The sequence below is a fragment of the Homo sapiens genome, chromosome X (assembly GCF_000001405.40).
Source record: "Homo sapiens chromosome X, GRCh38.p14 Primary Assembly".
Taxonomy (NCBI): Eukaryota; Metazoa; Chordata; class Mammalia; order Primates; family Hominidae; genus Homo; species Homo sapiens.
In genome coordinates, this window is record NC_000023.11 from 29,395,128 (window position 1) to 29,412,534 (window position 17,407).

Consider the following 17,407-nt stretch of genomic DNA (forward strand, 5'->3'; position numbering starts at 1 on the left):
GTATCCTTTTTAATGCTCAGACAAGTGCTGGCTCTCCCATGAGTCCCACCTGAGACTCAAAGGAGTTAAATAAATTGCCCAGTTTTGTAGAGATGGTAAGCAGTGAGACTCAAATACAGGAATTTGATGGCCATGTACATGAATAAGCAGTTGGGCACTTATTTACCAAATGGGAAGTTCTAAAGCAAACTTTGAATTCAATATTTTATTCCTCTCTTTCTTCTCATTAGCCAGCACCATGCCTGACACATGATCAGTGTTCATTGAATGTCCTGAGACTTAAAAAGCAAGTAGAAGTAGTGCAATTTACCCAAAAAACTTCATTTGGTCTCAACCCTTCCAAAAGATCTCTGCACAGGATTTATAGCCTCACTTATTCCAAGTTATAAACTTGATTTATGTACCAGGAAGAAAAAAGAGATGCTTATTTAATGACCCAATTCTGTAGAATCTGTCTATCAGGATGGGGTTGTTCTTATGTAACACAGTAGAATGCTTAGCTCTGACAACCTGGACTCTAGGTTCCAACCCAAGTAGATATGGGTCGATAAAGATAGTAACTTTGCAATACTTTTATCCAAGAATGTGTTCTGCCCAGACTCAGTAACTACTCGTCTTAGCAAGACAACCAATAGTGTAACTTTTATCCAAGAATGTGTTCTGCCCAGACTCAGTAACTACTCGTCTTAGCAAGACAACCAATAGTGTAAGAGTATGCAGCATTATTCCTGAACCTCACTGTGATTAATAGGCCAGTTACACTTTTCTACTTCTATTGAATTTGCCAATTTTAGCATAAGCCCAGGCTTGACTTTATTCTGGACCTAAATCTTCCTTTATTTTTTTTCTAGGTACAAAATATCTATTAAACATTTTAAAACTTAACCTGAATGTAAAACAAAACTTTTTCTCTGGCAAATAAAAACAAATAAATATACATTTAGCTTCACAAGAGCAAGTATTGTTTAGCTGGGTAGCAAGAGAGAACCCTGTGGAATAAGTCAAGATACCATAAAATTAGTTAAACAGTGAAGTTTTTGCTTTTCTTTTAAGTGAATTAAATACACTGCCTTGGCAGCACTTGCTTTTTGTTCACACCAGGTCACTGTATTTATTCTGCTTTGTTACAGAAACTCCACTTACTGTATGAAAGTATCCATCTCACTGACAGTGGGTGAAAATGACACTGGACTCTGCTATAATTCCAAGATGAAGTATTTTGAAAAAGCTGAACTTAGCAAAAGCAAGGAAATTTCATGCCGTGACATAGAGGATTTTCTACTGCCAACCAGAGAACCTGAAATCCTTTGGTACAAGGTATGGACTGCGGGTGGTTCTATTTCCTATTAACAAATTAATTGTGCCTTATATTCTGGGACAAATTGGATAGAAAACTTAGATGGGTGTGATATAGTTTAGCTTTGCCTTTCTAGAATAATATAGCAAGTTGTACTGGTCATTATATGTTTTTTAACCAATGGCTTTAGTAAATTCTAGTCAATGTTTGTATTGGTAATCCACTGTAATAAGCTGTTGTGTTTATGTTTATATTTTATTTCCATGGACAATTCTTTCAAGTCTACTATGGTCTGGGTTGATAATTTCAGGAACTAAATTACCTTGAACCTTCTTTTCAGGGTTCTTCACATTAGCATTTCAAAGTGTCCCCAAACAAAAGGAAAAAGGACTGATTTTTTTCCAGGATAAAATCGTATACTAGTTTTTCATGGAATGTTCTGTTTAATGGACATAATTTTGTCCATATTCTAATCTTTTTCATGTATAAACATAAACATTTTAAAGAAATAACATCTGAGGAAATTGTATGACACCAGAAATATAATATTGAAGTAACTTTCTTCCAAAACCAGTTGAAACTTTAAACTTAAACAGAATAATCCAACCTCTGACTTTCCTATCACCATCATTGATGTTTATTTACTGATATTCCAGATTTGAACATAATTTTAAGCTTGTTTATACAATAAAAGAAATTTTTGTTATTGAATGTACTCAAAAAATAAAGTATAGATGCTGTGAACATTCTTCCAGAATATTTTATACATAGTTTAAAGAATCCTTATGTAACATTTGCTTTGTCTAACTCACTGGAAGTGGGACTTTAGAAACTGGGCCTCTTTGTAACTAGATCCACAAATGTCAGTATACAGAATGTGAGCCCTCATGACAGACTGAAGATGAATTCAAAAACTGTTAGAAATAAAACAAGAAACAAACCTTTAACAATTTTAAAAAAGATTTTTCCAAAACAGCAATGCTCTTTCCTAAGTAAGACTTACTTTTGATTCTTGATAATGTGAAATTGTGGGTTCAGAACATCAAGGGAACTGTTGGAAGATTTTTATACTTGTCCCTTGCTTGATTTTCAATCCTAGACCATGTTAAATGGAGCTCAAATATTAGTCCTGCTGGTTTCTGTTACTGTGGGAATGAATTTTCTTTTTCTCTTTTTTTAATTGTTGGAGTATTTCTTATCCTTAACCACCCTCACATCTCAAACCACCCTGTGGTTTGTCTGACTTCCACAGGCAGATTCTGAGGCAAGCCCTGATGATTGCTTCAAGGGGGAGTGGTATTAGGGGAATTTGACCCAAAGTCTCCAAATAAACCCTTTTTTTTCTTAGTACTCATGTGTGACATCAGCTTCTAAATATGCAGTGTCTTTGTTGTTCACTAATAAGTTTATTTTAAGAGTTGTGTTTCTTTTCTCACCTTTTGCAAAGAGCATCTTAAAATTTGCTGAAAGATGAGAGACTACACACACACAGTGTAAAAAGTGGCTGGTCCTTTAGTCCTATTTCCAACATTGCCACAATAATTTTGACCTTAAGCTATGCAGACTAGTGAAGTGGTGGGTGGGGATGCAGTATATGTGGTATTTAAAAGTCATAACATTTCAGATTATTTTTCCATAGTCAAAGATTAGCCCCTGTAGTCTAAATAGCAGAGATTTAAGGGCTACTTCTATAGTGGAATACTATAAAATAATCAATCTGGCTAAATGTAGATGTCACACATTCAGTGGAAAATTTATGCAATTACCACAAGTCATGCAACTAATATGGCATATACAGTGTATATTTTGGTCAGAAATAACACGAAAATTGCCCCCAATTACACAAAGGCATTGAGCCACATAAAATAATGTTCTGCAAAAATTTGATTTGGCAATACAATTTTTTAGAAACAATATTACCCCTGAAGAATGTCAAATGTTTTAAAGCTATTTTATCCTCGTTCCATTGATTTCAAATCTGGCTAGAGGAAATTGACTTCTGTTTTGGCAAAAACAGAAATCTCCTGAGCCAACATCATTATTATTCAAAGCTTAATTCAGAGACCATAATTTGCTAAGTCTATTAACAATGAAAACAGATATTTATGGAACTCTAAAGACCTTGCATATAAATGTTGATTGTTTCATGGATTATAGCATGCATACACTATGAAGAGATTTAATTTTTACTAAATGCAAAACTAAAATGTTTCAAATATTGAAATAGAATTTAGGTGCAATCATTGAACGGTGCAATCTTTTGTACAGCAAATTTTCTGCTTTCCAGTAAAATAATATGGTTTGTATTTTATGTTATCAATTTCAATATGGTTGATTTCACAATAATGAAATGTGAAATATCTGTTTCCAAAATGATGTCACGGATAGTCTTAGCATACATCTCTATTCTTATATCTAATAAATCAGTACATATCTGGTTTAGATATACTAATCTTAGAAGTTAATTGACTTTTCCAAAAAAATAATCTTCAGATTGAAGTATTCATTGGTTCAAAAATGTATAATGACCAGTGCAACTTGCCATATTATTCTAGGAAGCAAATTGATTCCCCAGAGATTTTGAGAAGAAATGAAATTATTTAGCATTAGTTTCAAACTTTTTAGTCCCTTTAAAATGCAATTTTAGAAGCTTTTGTTTTAGTTATTTAAAACTGTTCTATATTTTTCCATTACTATATGTACTACCAAAATTGTATGTTCTTCATATAGGAATGCAGGACAAAAACATGGAGGCCAAGTATTGTATTCAAAAGAGATACTCTGCTTATAAGAGAAGTCAGAGAAGATGACATTGGAAATTATACCTGTGAATTAAAATATGGAGGCTTTGTTGTGAGAAGAACTACTGAATTAACTGTTACAGGTAATCACAGTCTTCAATATTTCACTTGCAAGTGATGAAACTACTATTTTAAGTTAGTTTTTATGCTACACATTGATATTTTTACTCTCTAAAGAATTACATAATCAAATGCTAAGTGGATTCCTATAGGTGAAATTTATTCCTCCTTGCTTTTGAATCATCTTCCACTGAAGTCCATTCAAAAGGCTAGAGACAATATGTTTAGGGAGTTATAGAAATGTTAACTTTTGGGCCGGGCACCGTGGCTCATGCCTGTAATCCCAGCACTTTGGGAGGCCAAGGTGGGCGAATCACGAGGTCAGGGGTTCAGGACCAGCCTGGCCAACATGGTGAAACCCTGTGTCTACTAAAAATACAAAAATTAGCCAGGCGTGGTGGTGGGCGCCTGTAATCCCAGCTACTCGGGAGGCTGAGGCAGGAGAATCACTCGAACCCACGAGGCAGAGGTTGCAGTGAGCTGAGATCGTGCCATTGCACTCCAGCCTGGGGGACAAGAGCAAGACGAAGTCTCAGAAAAAAAAAAAAAAAGAAATGTTAGCTTTTGAAAGTACTTGAAATAAAAATGAGTTTATGGTTTCCAAAAATTATGCTTATATTTTATAATGGTATCGTTTTTGGAAACATTTCCTAGAGTGGCTAAATAGAATATATGAAATCTACCTCTGTCTTCCTGTCTTGCTCCAAATTAGAAAAGTCGCTTTTCTCTTTTATTTATTTATCACTCTATCAATCTGACATACATGTCCTCATGAACTTGAAAATAGCATAACTTCAGGTGCAGTCATTGAATAATTATGTGAGATGTGATGCATAGAGTCATTTTCATAGCTGGTTGCTAAGGTGGAAGGACATGAGGACAAGATTCAGAACACTACCTGTAATCATGAATCTACAACTCACTAGTCACATAGGTTGGTGGAGTTACCACAGCCTTCAGCATATTAGTTTCTTCATGTATAAAATGGTGTTGATAAAATTTGCTGTTCTTATTTCATAGGGTTTTTGCAAGGATCAAATGAAGTAAGGTAATATGTATGACATAAATTTGCAAAATGCAGAATTATATCCAAATGTGCATAATTTTTGTCCATGAAAATTGCATTCATACATTTTTTTTCTTTATAGTGCATTTCTTACAAGGTGGTTTCATGAGAAAAGTGGGGATAATAAGAACAACATTCAGAAATTAAAAATATTATTCTCATATTCTTATTGAGAGATTCTTCTTGGTGACTTTTGTGTATGATCATACTTGTAAAACTTATATAGAAAAGCATAAAAAGGACATTAGCTGTTTTAAATTAAACAGAGTTTTATTTGTTCACTGGTCCACTTAAAATTAGTTTTCCCTGTATATGAAAAGTGTTTTGTGGTAGTCACCTACATCTTATAATAATTTATTTCTTTTAAGGTATCTGGCTATACTTGAGTTTCTATACAATCAATTTTGAAATTTGTTTTTCATCTGTTACTTAATTTTTTCCTTTAATCTCTACTGAAGTGGTTTTTCAACCAGTAGTATTGAGGCAAAGGAATTTAAAAATATAAAGTAAAGCAATCTATCCTGAATAGAAAATAGAATGCACTTCTAGTCTTTATTCTTCAGAGTGGAGAACTCATCTTTAGTAAGCACCTCTTTCCCCTTTCTAGAAATGCTAGGATTCTAAACCAGTACCTAGTATGAGACAGTTGGAGCACAGTATCATGGATACTGAACACTGGGCTCTGAATGGTAAAACAGCTTGTGTAAGACTATTTTATAGAACCAAAAATAGAACTCTTTATATCCTAAATGCTTTCCAGGGCAACCGTACTTTCCTAAACTTCATTTGTCCCAAAATATCTTGTTTTCTTTATATAAAAACAAAGAGTAATTGAGTCTTGATATTCAAGAGGAAGATAAAGTTTTAATGAAAGTTTTCATTCCACTTATTATCATAAATACTTATATGTAGCCTTACCTGAGACAATGATTTGGGCAAATAAATTATGAAACAGTTTGACTGGATGTGAAATTTTGGGTTAATGTAGAGCTACATGCCCTAGAATTAAGAACAGTATATACTAAAATGCATTTTAGGTATTAACAACAAGTCTACTGGGAAGATATATTTATGTATAACATTGTTTTAAATGGTGTGACACTATAGCGCATTTACTGTGGGGCCAAATTAAAGAGCAGTTCTTAAAACCCAAATTATATTCCTCAGTTAAAGCAACAAACATGGGCAGTATCTGAATGATAAGGAATCACTGTTTTTTATCTTGGTTTTCTGCACATCATTATCATATTTTACTTAATGAAAATATTATGGAAAACATAATATTATTTGGTTTTAGTGGAATTTGAAGTTTGTTATAATGTCACTTTAAAAAAAAAAAAAAGAGGAATCCTATACGTAAAAAGGAAATTTCTGGCCGAAGGAAGTGGCTAAATGTGCAGGCAGCATCGTGAGCTTTTATGGGTGATCGATCCTTCCCTTATTGAAAATGTATATCCTTAGCTAAGTGAAGTACTGGTTCAACAAAACAGATCACAGTGAAAGGAATTATAAACCTGTCCAGCACTTTTGGTATTTTAAACATCTTTTTTTTTTTCTTTGGGAAACAGTTTCTCTCTTGTTGCCCAGGCTAGAGTGCAGTGGTGCAATCTTGGCTCACTGCAACCTCTGCCTCCCAGGTTCAAGAGATTCTCCTGCCTCAGCCTCCCGAGTAGCTGGGATTATAGGCCCGTGCCACCATGCCCAGCTAATTTTTGTATTTTTAGTAGAGACCGGGTTTAACCATGTTGGCCAGGCTGGTGTCAAACTCCTGAAACATTCTCAATTTTTTTCTTTTAAATTAAAGATGTTACGGCACCATCTCTAGCCTCTATCTTTTATTAGCCTTACCCACATTGAAGTTCTTACTCCAAATGTCCTCCCTCTGAACTCTTATTCATGGTTTTCTCCCTCTGGAAGGTTTTTTATCTTCTCCTTTGTCACATCCCTGATTCTCACCCTTTCTTCAAGGCACAGCTAAAATGTTATCCCCTTGTTGAGGCACGTACTCCATGCATCCACAGCACTTTTAGCATCTCTATTGCAGCACTTACCTCATTGCATCAAACTATTTAATGACACTCCTGTATTTTCATAAGAATGTGAGCAACTTAGAGTCAAGGGCAATGTCTTTTATTTTTTAAATAAGCATTTGATTTTAGAACGGTTTTAGATTTACAGAAAAAACATAGTAGAAATCCCATCTAGCCTGCATTCAGTTCCCCCTGTTATTCACATCTAATATTAATATGGTATATTCGTTATAGTTAATGAACTGATTTTGGCACATTATTATTAAATAAAGTCCGTAGTTTATTTAGATTTCTGTGCTTTTTACCTGATGTCCTTGTTTCTGTTCCAGGATCCCATCTAGAATAGCACATAACATTTAGTTGTTATGTCTCCTTAAGATACTCTTGGTTGTGACTGTTTTACATTTTTTTTTATTTTTGATGACCTTTACAATTTTGAGGAGTATTTTGTCGAATGTCCTATATTTGGGATTTTTCTGAGATTTTTTCATGATTAGGTGAGGGTTATAGGTCCTTGGAAGAAAAAACACAGAGGTAAAATCACAACATGTCATATCAGCCTGACTTATCACTGTTGATGTTGATCTTGATCACCTGAGGTAGTGTTAGGTAGGTTTTTCCACTGTAAAGTTACTCTCTTCCCCATTTTTATACTGTAGTTTTTGTCATCCATGCTATATGTCATCCATGCTAAAGGAGTGAGAGGTTATGTTCCACCTCTCTGAGAGCAGAATGTCCACATATTTTGTGTGGTATTCTGCTACATGAGATATATGTCTGTTCTCCCACATTTATCTACTTATTCAATTGTTGCTCTATACCAGTTTGGACTTAACAGTTATTTTATACTTTGCTTTATAATCCAAATTACCTTATTTATTTTGTTGCTCAAATTATTACAGTTTTGGTCATTAAGAGCTCTTTTAGTTGGCTCCTTTGTCCCTGTGACATACTTATATTGGGGTGTGTGTGTGTGTGTGTGTATGTATGTTTGAGTACTTTCCTACTTTCTGGCCCTTTAAGATGCTCTAAGCTCATCTTGTATATTTCCTGCCCCAGTCCCTACATCAGATATATTTTTTCAAAGATGCCATGTTGCTTTTATTGGAGAATTATACCAAAAATGAATACCTTCATGTTGAGAGTACTCATTGCTACTGGGATATAGTTGTTTTGAAGCTTTTCTAATCGACAAAAAAAGAAAAATGTGTATAGTAACACATAAACATATACACATATCTATAGATATTTATATGTGTAACCACCTGTGTTTATATTAAGTTAAACATGAGTTCATACTGATGTTTCCAACTCTAATTTATTACCATATGGATCATTTTAGCCTCTTCCCCTACCTTATGTGTAACCTCCCAATCCAGTAGTTAGAAAACTGGTTCTCACCATCTGCCATTCTTTTACTGAATTGTTCACTTCCAGTATAAATGTATAGTGAGATCAGAATTTGTTAACCTGTGCCCATGTGGGAAACAACTTTATCAATTAGAATATGGTGTTTACGTACAATTGTTTTAGCATTTAGCCTTACAGACTTCACTCATTTCCAAAGTTGCTAAGGTCAGCACCTTTCCCCTCACCTGCTTCAGTGAGGTTATCTCACATATTTGTAATATAGTTAGATTGTTTTATCATATTCTGTATTTCCCAGGATCCTCTGACCTCCTGAATTATATTTAAAATTTGCATACATTAAGGTTTTCTCTTTGTGCTGTGAAGTTCTATGAGTTTAAACAAATGCATAGTGTCATGTATTCATAATTAAAAAGTAACAGAATAGTTTCACTGCCCTAAAAAAGACTCTACACTTCATATGTTCAGCCCTTCTTTCTGCCTTCCGAATCCCTGGAAACAACTGATCTTTTTACCATAACTATAGTTTTGCTTTTTCCAGAATGTCATATAATTGAAATCATACAGTTTTTGGCCTTTTCAGACTGGCTTCTTTCACTTAGCAATATGCATTTCCTTCACTCCTTTCTGCCTTCCTTCCTTTTAATTGAGCATTTTATCTCTTCCATTTTTACATCAATTTTCCTTCTTTTTAGATATATATTTTAGTGATAGCCCTGGATATTCCAATTTTAAACTAATCTCAGTCCACCTTCAAAAAACGCTGTGTAGTACAGATACCTTATTACAGAGTACTCCCAGTTCCTCTCTCCTATCCTTTATGACATTGTTCTCATTCATTTCACTTACCCATATTGTATAATCACCCAATATATTGTTACTGTTATTTTAAACAAAGTTATCTTTTACATCAATTTAGAATAAGAGAAATAAAATATTTTATTTTACCTTCATTTATTCCTTCTCTGGCACTCTTCTTTATGTAGATCCAAGTTTCTATTCCATACACTTTTCTTCTGCCTGAAAAACTTCCTTTGGCATTTCTTGCAATGAAGGTCCAGTGGTGATGATGTCCCTTAGTTTTCATTTATCAGAGAATGCCTTTATTTATTTTTCCCCTTTGAAAAAGAATTTTGCTGGATATAGAATTTTTTTGTTTGTTTGTTTGTTTTGTTTTGTTTTGAGACGGAGTCTTGCTCTGTCGCCCAGGGTGGAGTGCAGTGGCATGATCTCGGCTCACTGCAACCTCTGCTTCCTGGGTTCAAGTAATTCTCCTGCCTCACCCTCCCGAGTAGCTGGAATTACAGACACGTGCCACCATGCCCAGCTAATTTTTGTATTCTTAGTAGAGACGGGGTTTCACCATGTTGGCCAGGATGGTCTTGATATCCTGACCTTGTGATCCGCCCACCTCAGCCTCCCAAAGTGCTGGGATTACAGGCGTGAGCTACCGCGCCCAGTCTGGATGTAGAATTTTTGATTGGTACTTTTTTCGTTTTGTCACTTTCAATATGCCACTCCACTCTTTTATTGCTTGCATGGTTTTTGATGAGATGTTCACTCTGATACTTATCTCTGTGCCTGTATAGATATGATATTTTCTCTGTGTTCTTTATTTATTTATTTATTTTTTTTGAGACAGAGTCTCGCTCTGTCGCCCAGGCTGGAGTGCAGTGGCGGGATCTCGGCTCACTGCAAGCTCCGCCTCCCGGGTTCACGCCATTCTCCTGCCTCAGCCTCCCAAGTAGCTGGGACTACAGGTGCCCGCCACTAGGCCCAGCTAATTTTTTGTATTTTTAGTAGAGACGGGGTTTCACCGTTTTAGCCGGGATGGTCTCGATCTCCTGACCTCGTGATCCACCCGCCTCGGCCTCCCAAAGTGCTGGAATTACAGGCGTGAGCCACCACGCCCAGGCTCTGTGTTCTTTCAAGATTGTCTGTGTTTTTTTTTTCTCTGTAGATTGAATATGGTATGCCTAGGTATAGTGATTTTGTTATTTATCCTACTCAGTGTTTTATCAGCTTCCTGGATTTCTGGTTTGATGTCTCTCAATTTTGAAAATTCCATGACCATTATTATTTCAGATATTTACTCTGCTCCATTCTTTTTTTTTCTACTTTTGATATTCCGATTATACATATATTATGCCTTTTGAAATTATCTCTCAGTTCTTGGATGTTCTTTTCTGTTTTTATCATTCATTTTTCTCTTTGCATGTCAGTTGATAAAGTTCTACTGATCTATTTTCAAGCTCACACATTGTTTCCTGAACTGGTGTCCAGTGTACTGATGAGACCATCAAAGGGCTTCTTCATTTCTGTTACAATGTTTGTTTTTTAAAAACTCTAGCATTTCCTGGCTGGGCACAGTGGCTCACGCCTATAATCCCAGCACTTTGGGAGGCCGAGGTGGGCGGATCACAAGGTCAGGAGATCAAGACCATCCTGGCTAACATGGTGGAACCCTGTCTCTACTAAAAATACAAAAAATTAGCCGGGCGTGGTGGTGGGCGCCTGTAGTCCCAGCTACTCGGGAGGCTGAGGCAGGAGAATGGCGTGAACCTGGGAGGCAGAGCTTGTAGTGAGCCGAAATCGCGACACTGCACTCCAGACTGGGCGACAGAGCGAGACTCTGTCTCAAAAAAAAAAAAGCAAATCTAGCATTTCCTTTCGATTCTTTTTAACATTGCAATCTCTCTTCTTATATTACCCATCTGTGGGTATCGTGGAGGAATAATACCCTCCATACAGATCTCACACTCTACTTTTATTAATATTTAGGTTGGTGCAAACATAATTGCGGTTTTTGCCATAACTTTGCGGGTTTTTGCCCTGGAAAGTAAAGGCAAAAGCCGCAATTACATTTGCACGAGTCTAATACTACCGAGTTTTACATAAACCTTTTCATTTCCTACATTATATTGCTGATTTGTATTGAGATTTAAGTCAAATAACATCAGTTTTCTTATATTGTTAAGTCAAATGCCTGCCTGTGGTTGAACTTTTAGGTATGAATACAGTGCTGAGTATTCCTATAGAGATGATTATGTTCATTTTTAATACGTCATCCCAGTGTATGAAGATAGGTTTTATACTTGATTCTGTCTTACACTATAATAACTTCTCTTCCTTGACAAAAGTCATTACGTTTTTTGTTGGAAGATATGTCTGTTTTGAATGGAAACATTGTTTAAAATGTTATATTTAAAAGGCTCTGTATAAAGCTGTGTAATATGCTTTTATATTTTTTCTGGAATGTATTATTTCACCTCTCTTTAGTGAGAGATTTTTATCCTAATAAGAAATACAGAATCCAGTACATATTTTTACTTATTTCTTTTAATAATAACATATATAACCAAAAAGTGTATAAAATGTAAACAAGTAGCTGCTTAGCATGCTATCAAAAGAACTCAACTAGGCAAAGAAATAGAATACTGTAGGCCCCATAGAAGCCCCCATATGCCCTTCTGATTATAAACCCCTTCCTCTCCACTACTGGATAGGTACCTCAGTATGTGAGTTTTGGGGTATTTATTTTCTTGCGTGTTTAAAAGTTGTATTAGCTGATAGTGTATGACAAAGCGATATAGCTACATTTTGCCTGGTTTTGAAACGTATAAATTAGGACCCACATGTTGTGTATTCTGTCTGGCTTCTTCAACTCCAAATTTTGTTTCAAATATGCATGTATGTTATTCCATTCATCTGTACTTTATTCATTATTCTTATGCTATGATATTCCATTATATGAAAATCTCAGTTTGTTGATAGACATTAGGGCTTGTTGTAATTTTTTGCTTATGTAAGTAATATTGCCATTAACCGTCTTATGTACACACATATATACACACAAACACTTACATATTTCCTTGAACATATAAGCAAGCAATTCTGTAGGATTTTTACCTAGGAAAGGATTTGCTCATTAAAAGTATGTATATTTTCAAATTTACTAACTATTGTTTGGGCTAATTTGGGTCATGGGCGTATCCTAACCGAATTGACTGTAGGGAGGAGAGAAGTACTCCAAAGAAAGTTGGAGGTGCCAAAATAAGTGGAAATTATTCTAAGGAACATAAAAAGCCATTTTCTACTACTTCTACACATTATGATTTCTTAAAGATTATAAAATATAATTTGATATGCATAAAATTCTGTTTTGCATTGTGTAACAATTTTCTATACTTCCATATTGTTAAATAAAAATGTGAAAACATTCAACTTTGTATTGATATACATTGCCATATCCTAGGATTCCTTGCACTAAACTCTAACTCACATCCAGACTACACTATAACCCTAGTCTTCTGCCAGATATATGTGGGAATGTGGGTATGGGGAAAACGTCATATCCAGAGGTGGTCCATAAGCAATCTAGTGATTCCAAAATAAATTAAATCACCTTGGCTCATCATAAATACCAACTATGTAGACAAAAAATACAAATATTAGTAATGATACATATTTTTGGATTTGTTAGGTCTAAGGAAAAAAATATACACTATATAGGATTTTTTTAGATGTATTGATTACATTACATGATTTTCATTTTTGCCCATTTAATGCTTATTTCCCCTTCTGGCCAAAACATTTTTCTATTATTTTAAAAAGAAAGATTTAAAACAAAGTAACAACTGTATTGCCATCATAAAGTTTGGAAATGAGTCAGACCAGTTGCAACACCATTTAATTTCTAGGGTCAGATCATAGAATTAAGTAATGGTAAGGGAATACCTTGTTAAAATGTTATGTCAGAAAAAATTTTCCCAAGTAAATTTGAGAGTCAGCAAGCAGAGTGAGGAAGTGAAGAAAGGAAAACTGATTCGAAAAGAAGCAAAAAGAATGAGGTGATTGTTACAAGGATGTGATAGTTTTAGTAGCATTTTTATCCTTTATATAACTTTTTAACAGTTAATACAGCAGAATATTCAAACTACTTCCCAATCGACCACAGACTGAATTTACGCTCTCAAAAGGTACATCTTCCTCCTCTTTTAATGGATGAGGAAGCTGAGGCAAAGAAAGGTTAAGTGGCTTTATCAAGGTCACAAAACGTCACAGTGACAAATTTAGAAATAAAATTTAATTCCCTGAACCTCAGTCTATGATTTACTCCACTGGATAATTAATAGCAAGGCATTGTAGTGTTCATATTAGCTCTGCTGATCGCTATGAGAGATTTATATTTTAAGTGCAACGGAAACACATTTAACTGAGACCTCTAATTCTTCTGCCATGGATGTAATTAAGCAGTGTATTTGTGGTCTAGCCTGGGGATGGAGTATTGCTTCTTTTTCTTCCTATTTCTTTCAAAAAATTGCGTATTTTATTTCTCCTTTAAAAAAACTGTTTTTGTTAAATTACTTCATGGATTAAAGTGTGCTTTCACTGACTACAGCCTAACAATAATTGATGAAATTGATAAAAGGGGCAGATCTTTCCAGACTTTACTTTGTATGTTTGCTAACATTCCAGGATCCATACCCACAAAAACCATCATGTATATTATTTTTGATGAATTGACATATACTACATTTCTAGCTGTTTTATAAGTAAATATCTGCCATATTTTTGTAACTCAAATATCATTTAGATTAATTCACACTTTTGAATTAAAAGAGAAAAATGCTCATAAATATGGTGAAACTGAATTTAATCAACTTGGCTATCTAATGTTGATTTGGAGTTGAATTCCTAAAACAAAAGAGCTCTTTCATGAGTGGTTTCCAATAACTGTCCTGAAACCACTGACACTCATTACCTTTATTTATTATTTAATCTTAATATACTAAATGGGTTGTTCAAAAATGTATGAATCAAATTAACATTTATTGTTAAGGTGTAGTAAGTTTGAATAAAAACAAGATGTTTTTACTCTTGAGCAGAAAACGTATACATTTTAGAACATATTCATAGCAAGGTTGGAATGTGCCATCTCTGGCCATGGGGAAAACAAGACATCATAAACTTGAATGATTTCCATTAATACAAGAAAAATTAAATATTAATAATTAGAATAGTTAACACCTACTGAGTGTTCACCGTGTGCCAGGATCTGTTCTAAATTCTTTTTTTTTTTTTTTTTTTGAGATGGAGTTTCACTCTTGTTGCCCAGGCTGGAGTACAATGGCACGATATCGGCTCACCACAACCTCCGCCTCCCAGGTTCAAGCGATTCTCCTGCCTCAGCCTCCCCAGTAGCTGGGATTATAGGCATGTGCCACCACGCCCGGCTAATTTTTTATTTTTAGTAGAGACGGGTTTTCTCCATGTTGATCAGGCTGGTCTCGAACTCCCAACCTCAGGTGATCCACCCGCCTCGGCCTCCCAAAGTGCTGGGATTACAGGCGTGAGCCACTGTGCCCGGCCTGTTCTAAATTCTTCCACATAACCTCAACTTACTCACCCTTAAAAATTTTTCCAGTGCTCGCCAGGTGCAGTGGCTCACGTCTGTAATCCCAGGACTTTGGGAGGCTGAGGTGGGCAGATCACAAGATCAAGAGATCGAGACCATCCTGGCCAATGTGGTGAAACCCCGTCTCTACCAAAAATACAAAAATTAGCTGGGTGTGGTGGTGCGTGCCTGTAGTCCCAGCTGCTCAGGAGGCTGAGGCAGGAGAATCGCTTGAAACTGGGAGATGGAGGTTGCAGTGAGCCGAGATCACACCACTGCACTCTAGCCTGGGCAACAGAGCAAGACTCTGTGTCAAAAAAAAAAAAAAATTCCAGTGCTTGCCAAGTACCTAATATTCTTCTAGGTTTCATAAATTGCACTTGAAAATAATTCACTATTTTATTTCCCACTTCATATGGATTTTTGAATTTAATAAAAGATGAACATCCATTTCTGGAAAATGCAGTCAATTAGACCTCCATTTGCTGCTCTGAAACACTGAGAAAAATTAGATGAAATAAAATAGAAATACCATTTTAAATGATTAGTTGAGCTTGCAAGAATGTTCTTTTTTAAAAAAAGAAAAATCTCTGGGTCTAATTTTTATTTAGCAGTATTGAAGTACAAAAAAGTTACATAATTCAAATCATAATTTTATGAATATCAAATCACATTTTATAATCTTTAAGAAATCATGAAGTTTAGAAGTAATAGACATCTGCTGTTTATATTTCCTAGAATATGTTTCACTTCTTTTGACACCTCCCATTTTCTTTGGAGTACCACTCCTCTCTTTCCTTCAGTCCTTTTGGTTGGTAGACTCTTGGTCAAAAAAATCTCCAATTTGCTGCTCAAGAAGAATTGACCAGTCTCCAGGAAGGGCCTTAACAGGGTCCTCCTGGTTCAAGACAGCATTTAAAAAATAAAAAGAGACCAGGCTCAGTGGTTCACACCTGTAATACTGGTGCTTTGGGAGGCTGAAGCAGGAGGATTACTTGAGGCCAAGAGTTTGAGACCAGCCTGTGCTATATAGTCAGACATTGAATCTATCCATACATACATACATACCTATCTGTATTATATCTCTAAAAATGTCAGGTACTAGAATCCATAAATACAGACTAGAAATTAGCTATGCCTAAAATGATGGGTCACATTTTTAAAAATCTAAAACAATACCAGTATTTTTGATGCCTGTGTGAGAGCATAAATATTAAGAAAGGCAATTGGTCAGCAGGACTTTCTGCCCCAGTCATATATGCATTTTGATTTCATTCAATTTTCTGGCTGCCCTATTGCTGTTGTTGCCTGACATAGTTCATCAGCCAGAAGTAGTTCTTAATTTTTTCACTGATTTTCTTTGACAGCATTGAATTTCAAGTGTACTGAGAGTGTTTTCATTATAATAACCCTGCCAGTGTAATCCAACGGATTGCTTGCCTCTTAGAAATGATACAGTCATCCTTTCTGTCCGTCCCAGGTGTTAGAGCTGTATTACTTCTAGATTTTCAGACCACTAGCTAAACTTATTCTTACCTCATTGTTAAAGAAACAACTACTTTTTTTTTTTTTTTTACTGCTAACCATATGGCAGGTACTGTACACAATTATTTATAGGCATTACTATCTATATTTATCAAGGAGAAAAGTCAAAGTACATTTTGGACACATATTTAAACTTTTAAATACAAATCATTATCATTATTTCTAATGAAATTCCCTTCTTTATTTGCACTCTACTGCTTCAAATTTTCAAATTCTCTTATATTAATTCTAACAAACTCAATTTTGAGAGTCAAAAAGCTGTTCAATAAATATCCCTTGATAGAATTATTGGTTTATGGCTGGGCATGGTGGCTCACACCTGTAATCCCAGAACTTTGGGAGGCCGAAGTGGGTGAATCATCTGAGATCAGGAGTTCAAGACCAGCCTGGCCAACATGGCAAAACCCTGTCTCTACTAAAAATACAAAAGTTAGCCAGGCGTGGTGGTCCGCGCCTGTAGTCCCAGCTACTCAGGAGGCTGAGGCAGGAGAATTGCTTGAACTCAGGAGGCAGAAGTTGCAGTGAGCCGAGATCAAACCACTGTGCTTCAGCCTGGGCAACAGAACAAGACTCCATCAAAAAAAAAGAAAAAAAAAATTCTTGTTTTAGTTAGTTAGAGAAAAAAAATATCAACAACTGGGCTGTCCAATATAATAGCCACAAGCACCATGTGTCCACTGAGCAACTGAAATTTGGCTAGACTGGATTGAGATATTTTAAATGTAAAATATGTGCTAAATATTTCAAATGTAAAATATGTGCTGGATTTTAAAGACTTAGTTTGACAAAAATAATGCAAAATATCTCTTTAGTAATTTTTTTATATTGATATCATGTTGAAGT

At 35.3% G+C, this 17,407-nt stretch overlaps 1 protein-coding gene across 3 annotated transcripts in view; it reads left to right on the forward strand.

Moving 5' to 3' along the window:
• Nucleotides 1-17,407, forward strand: part of IL1RAPL1 (interleukin 1 receptor accessory protein like 1) — a 1,369,273-nt gene that overhangs the window by 807,682 nt on the left and 544,184 nt on the right. For all 3 annotated transcript variants that reach the window (NM_014271.4, XM_017029240.2, XM_017029241.2), the window contains 2 exons: nucleotides 1,131-1,317; nucleotides 4,028-4,181. In NM_014271.4, the coding sequence (NP_055086.1) occupies nucleotides 1,131-1,317; nucleotides 4,028-4,181 (341 nt within the window). The remainder of the gene's footprint in view (nucleotides 1-1,130; nucleotides 1,318-4,027; nucleotides 4,182-17,407) is intronic.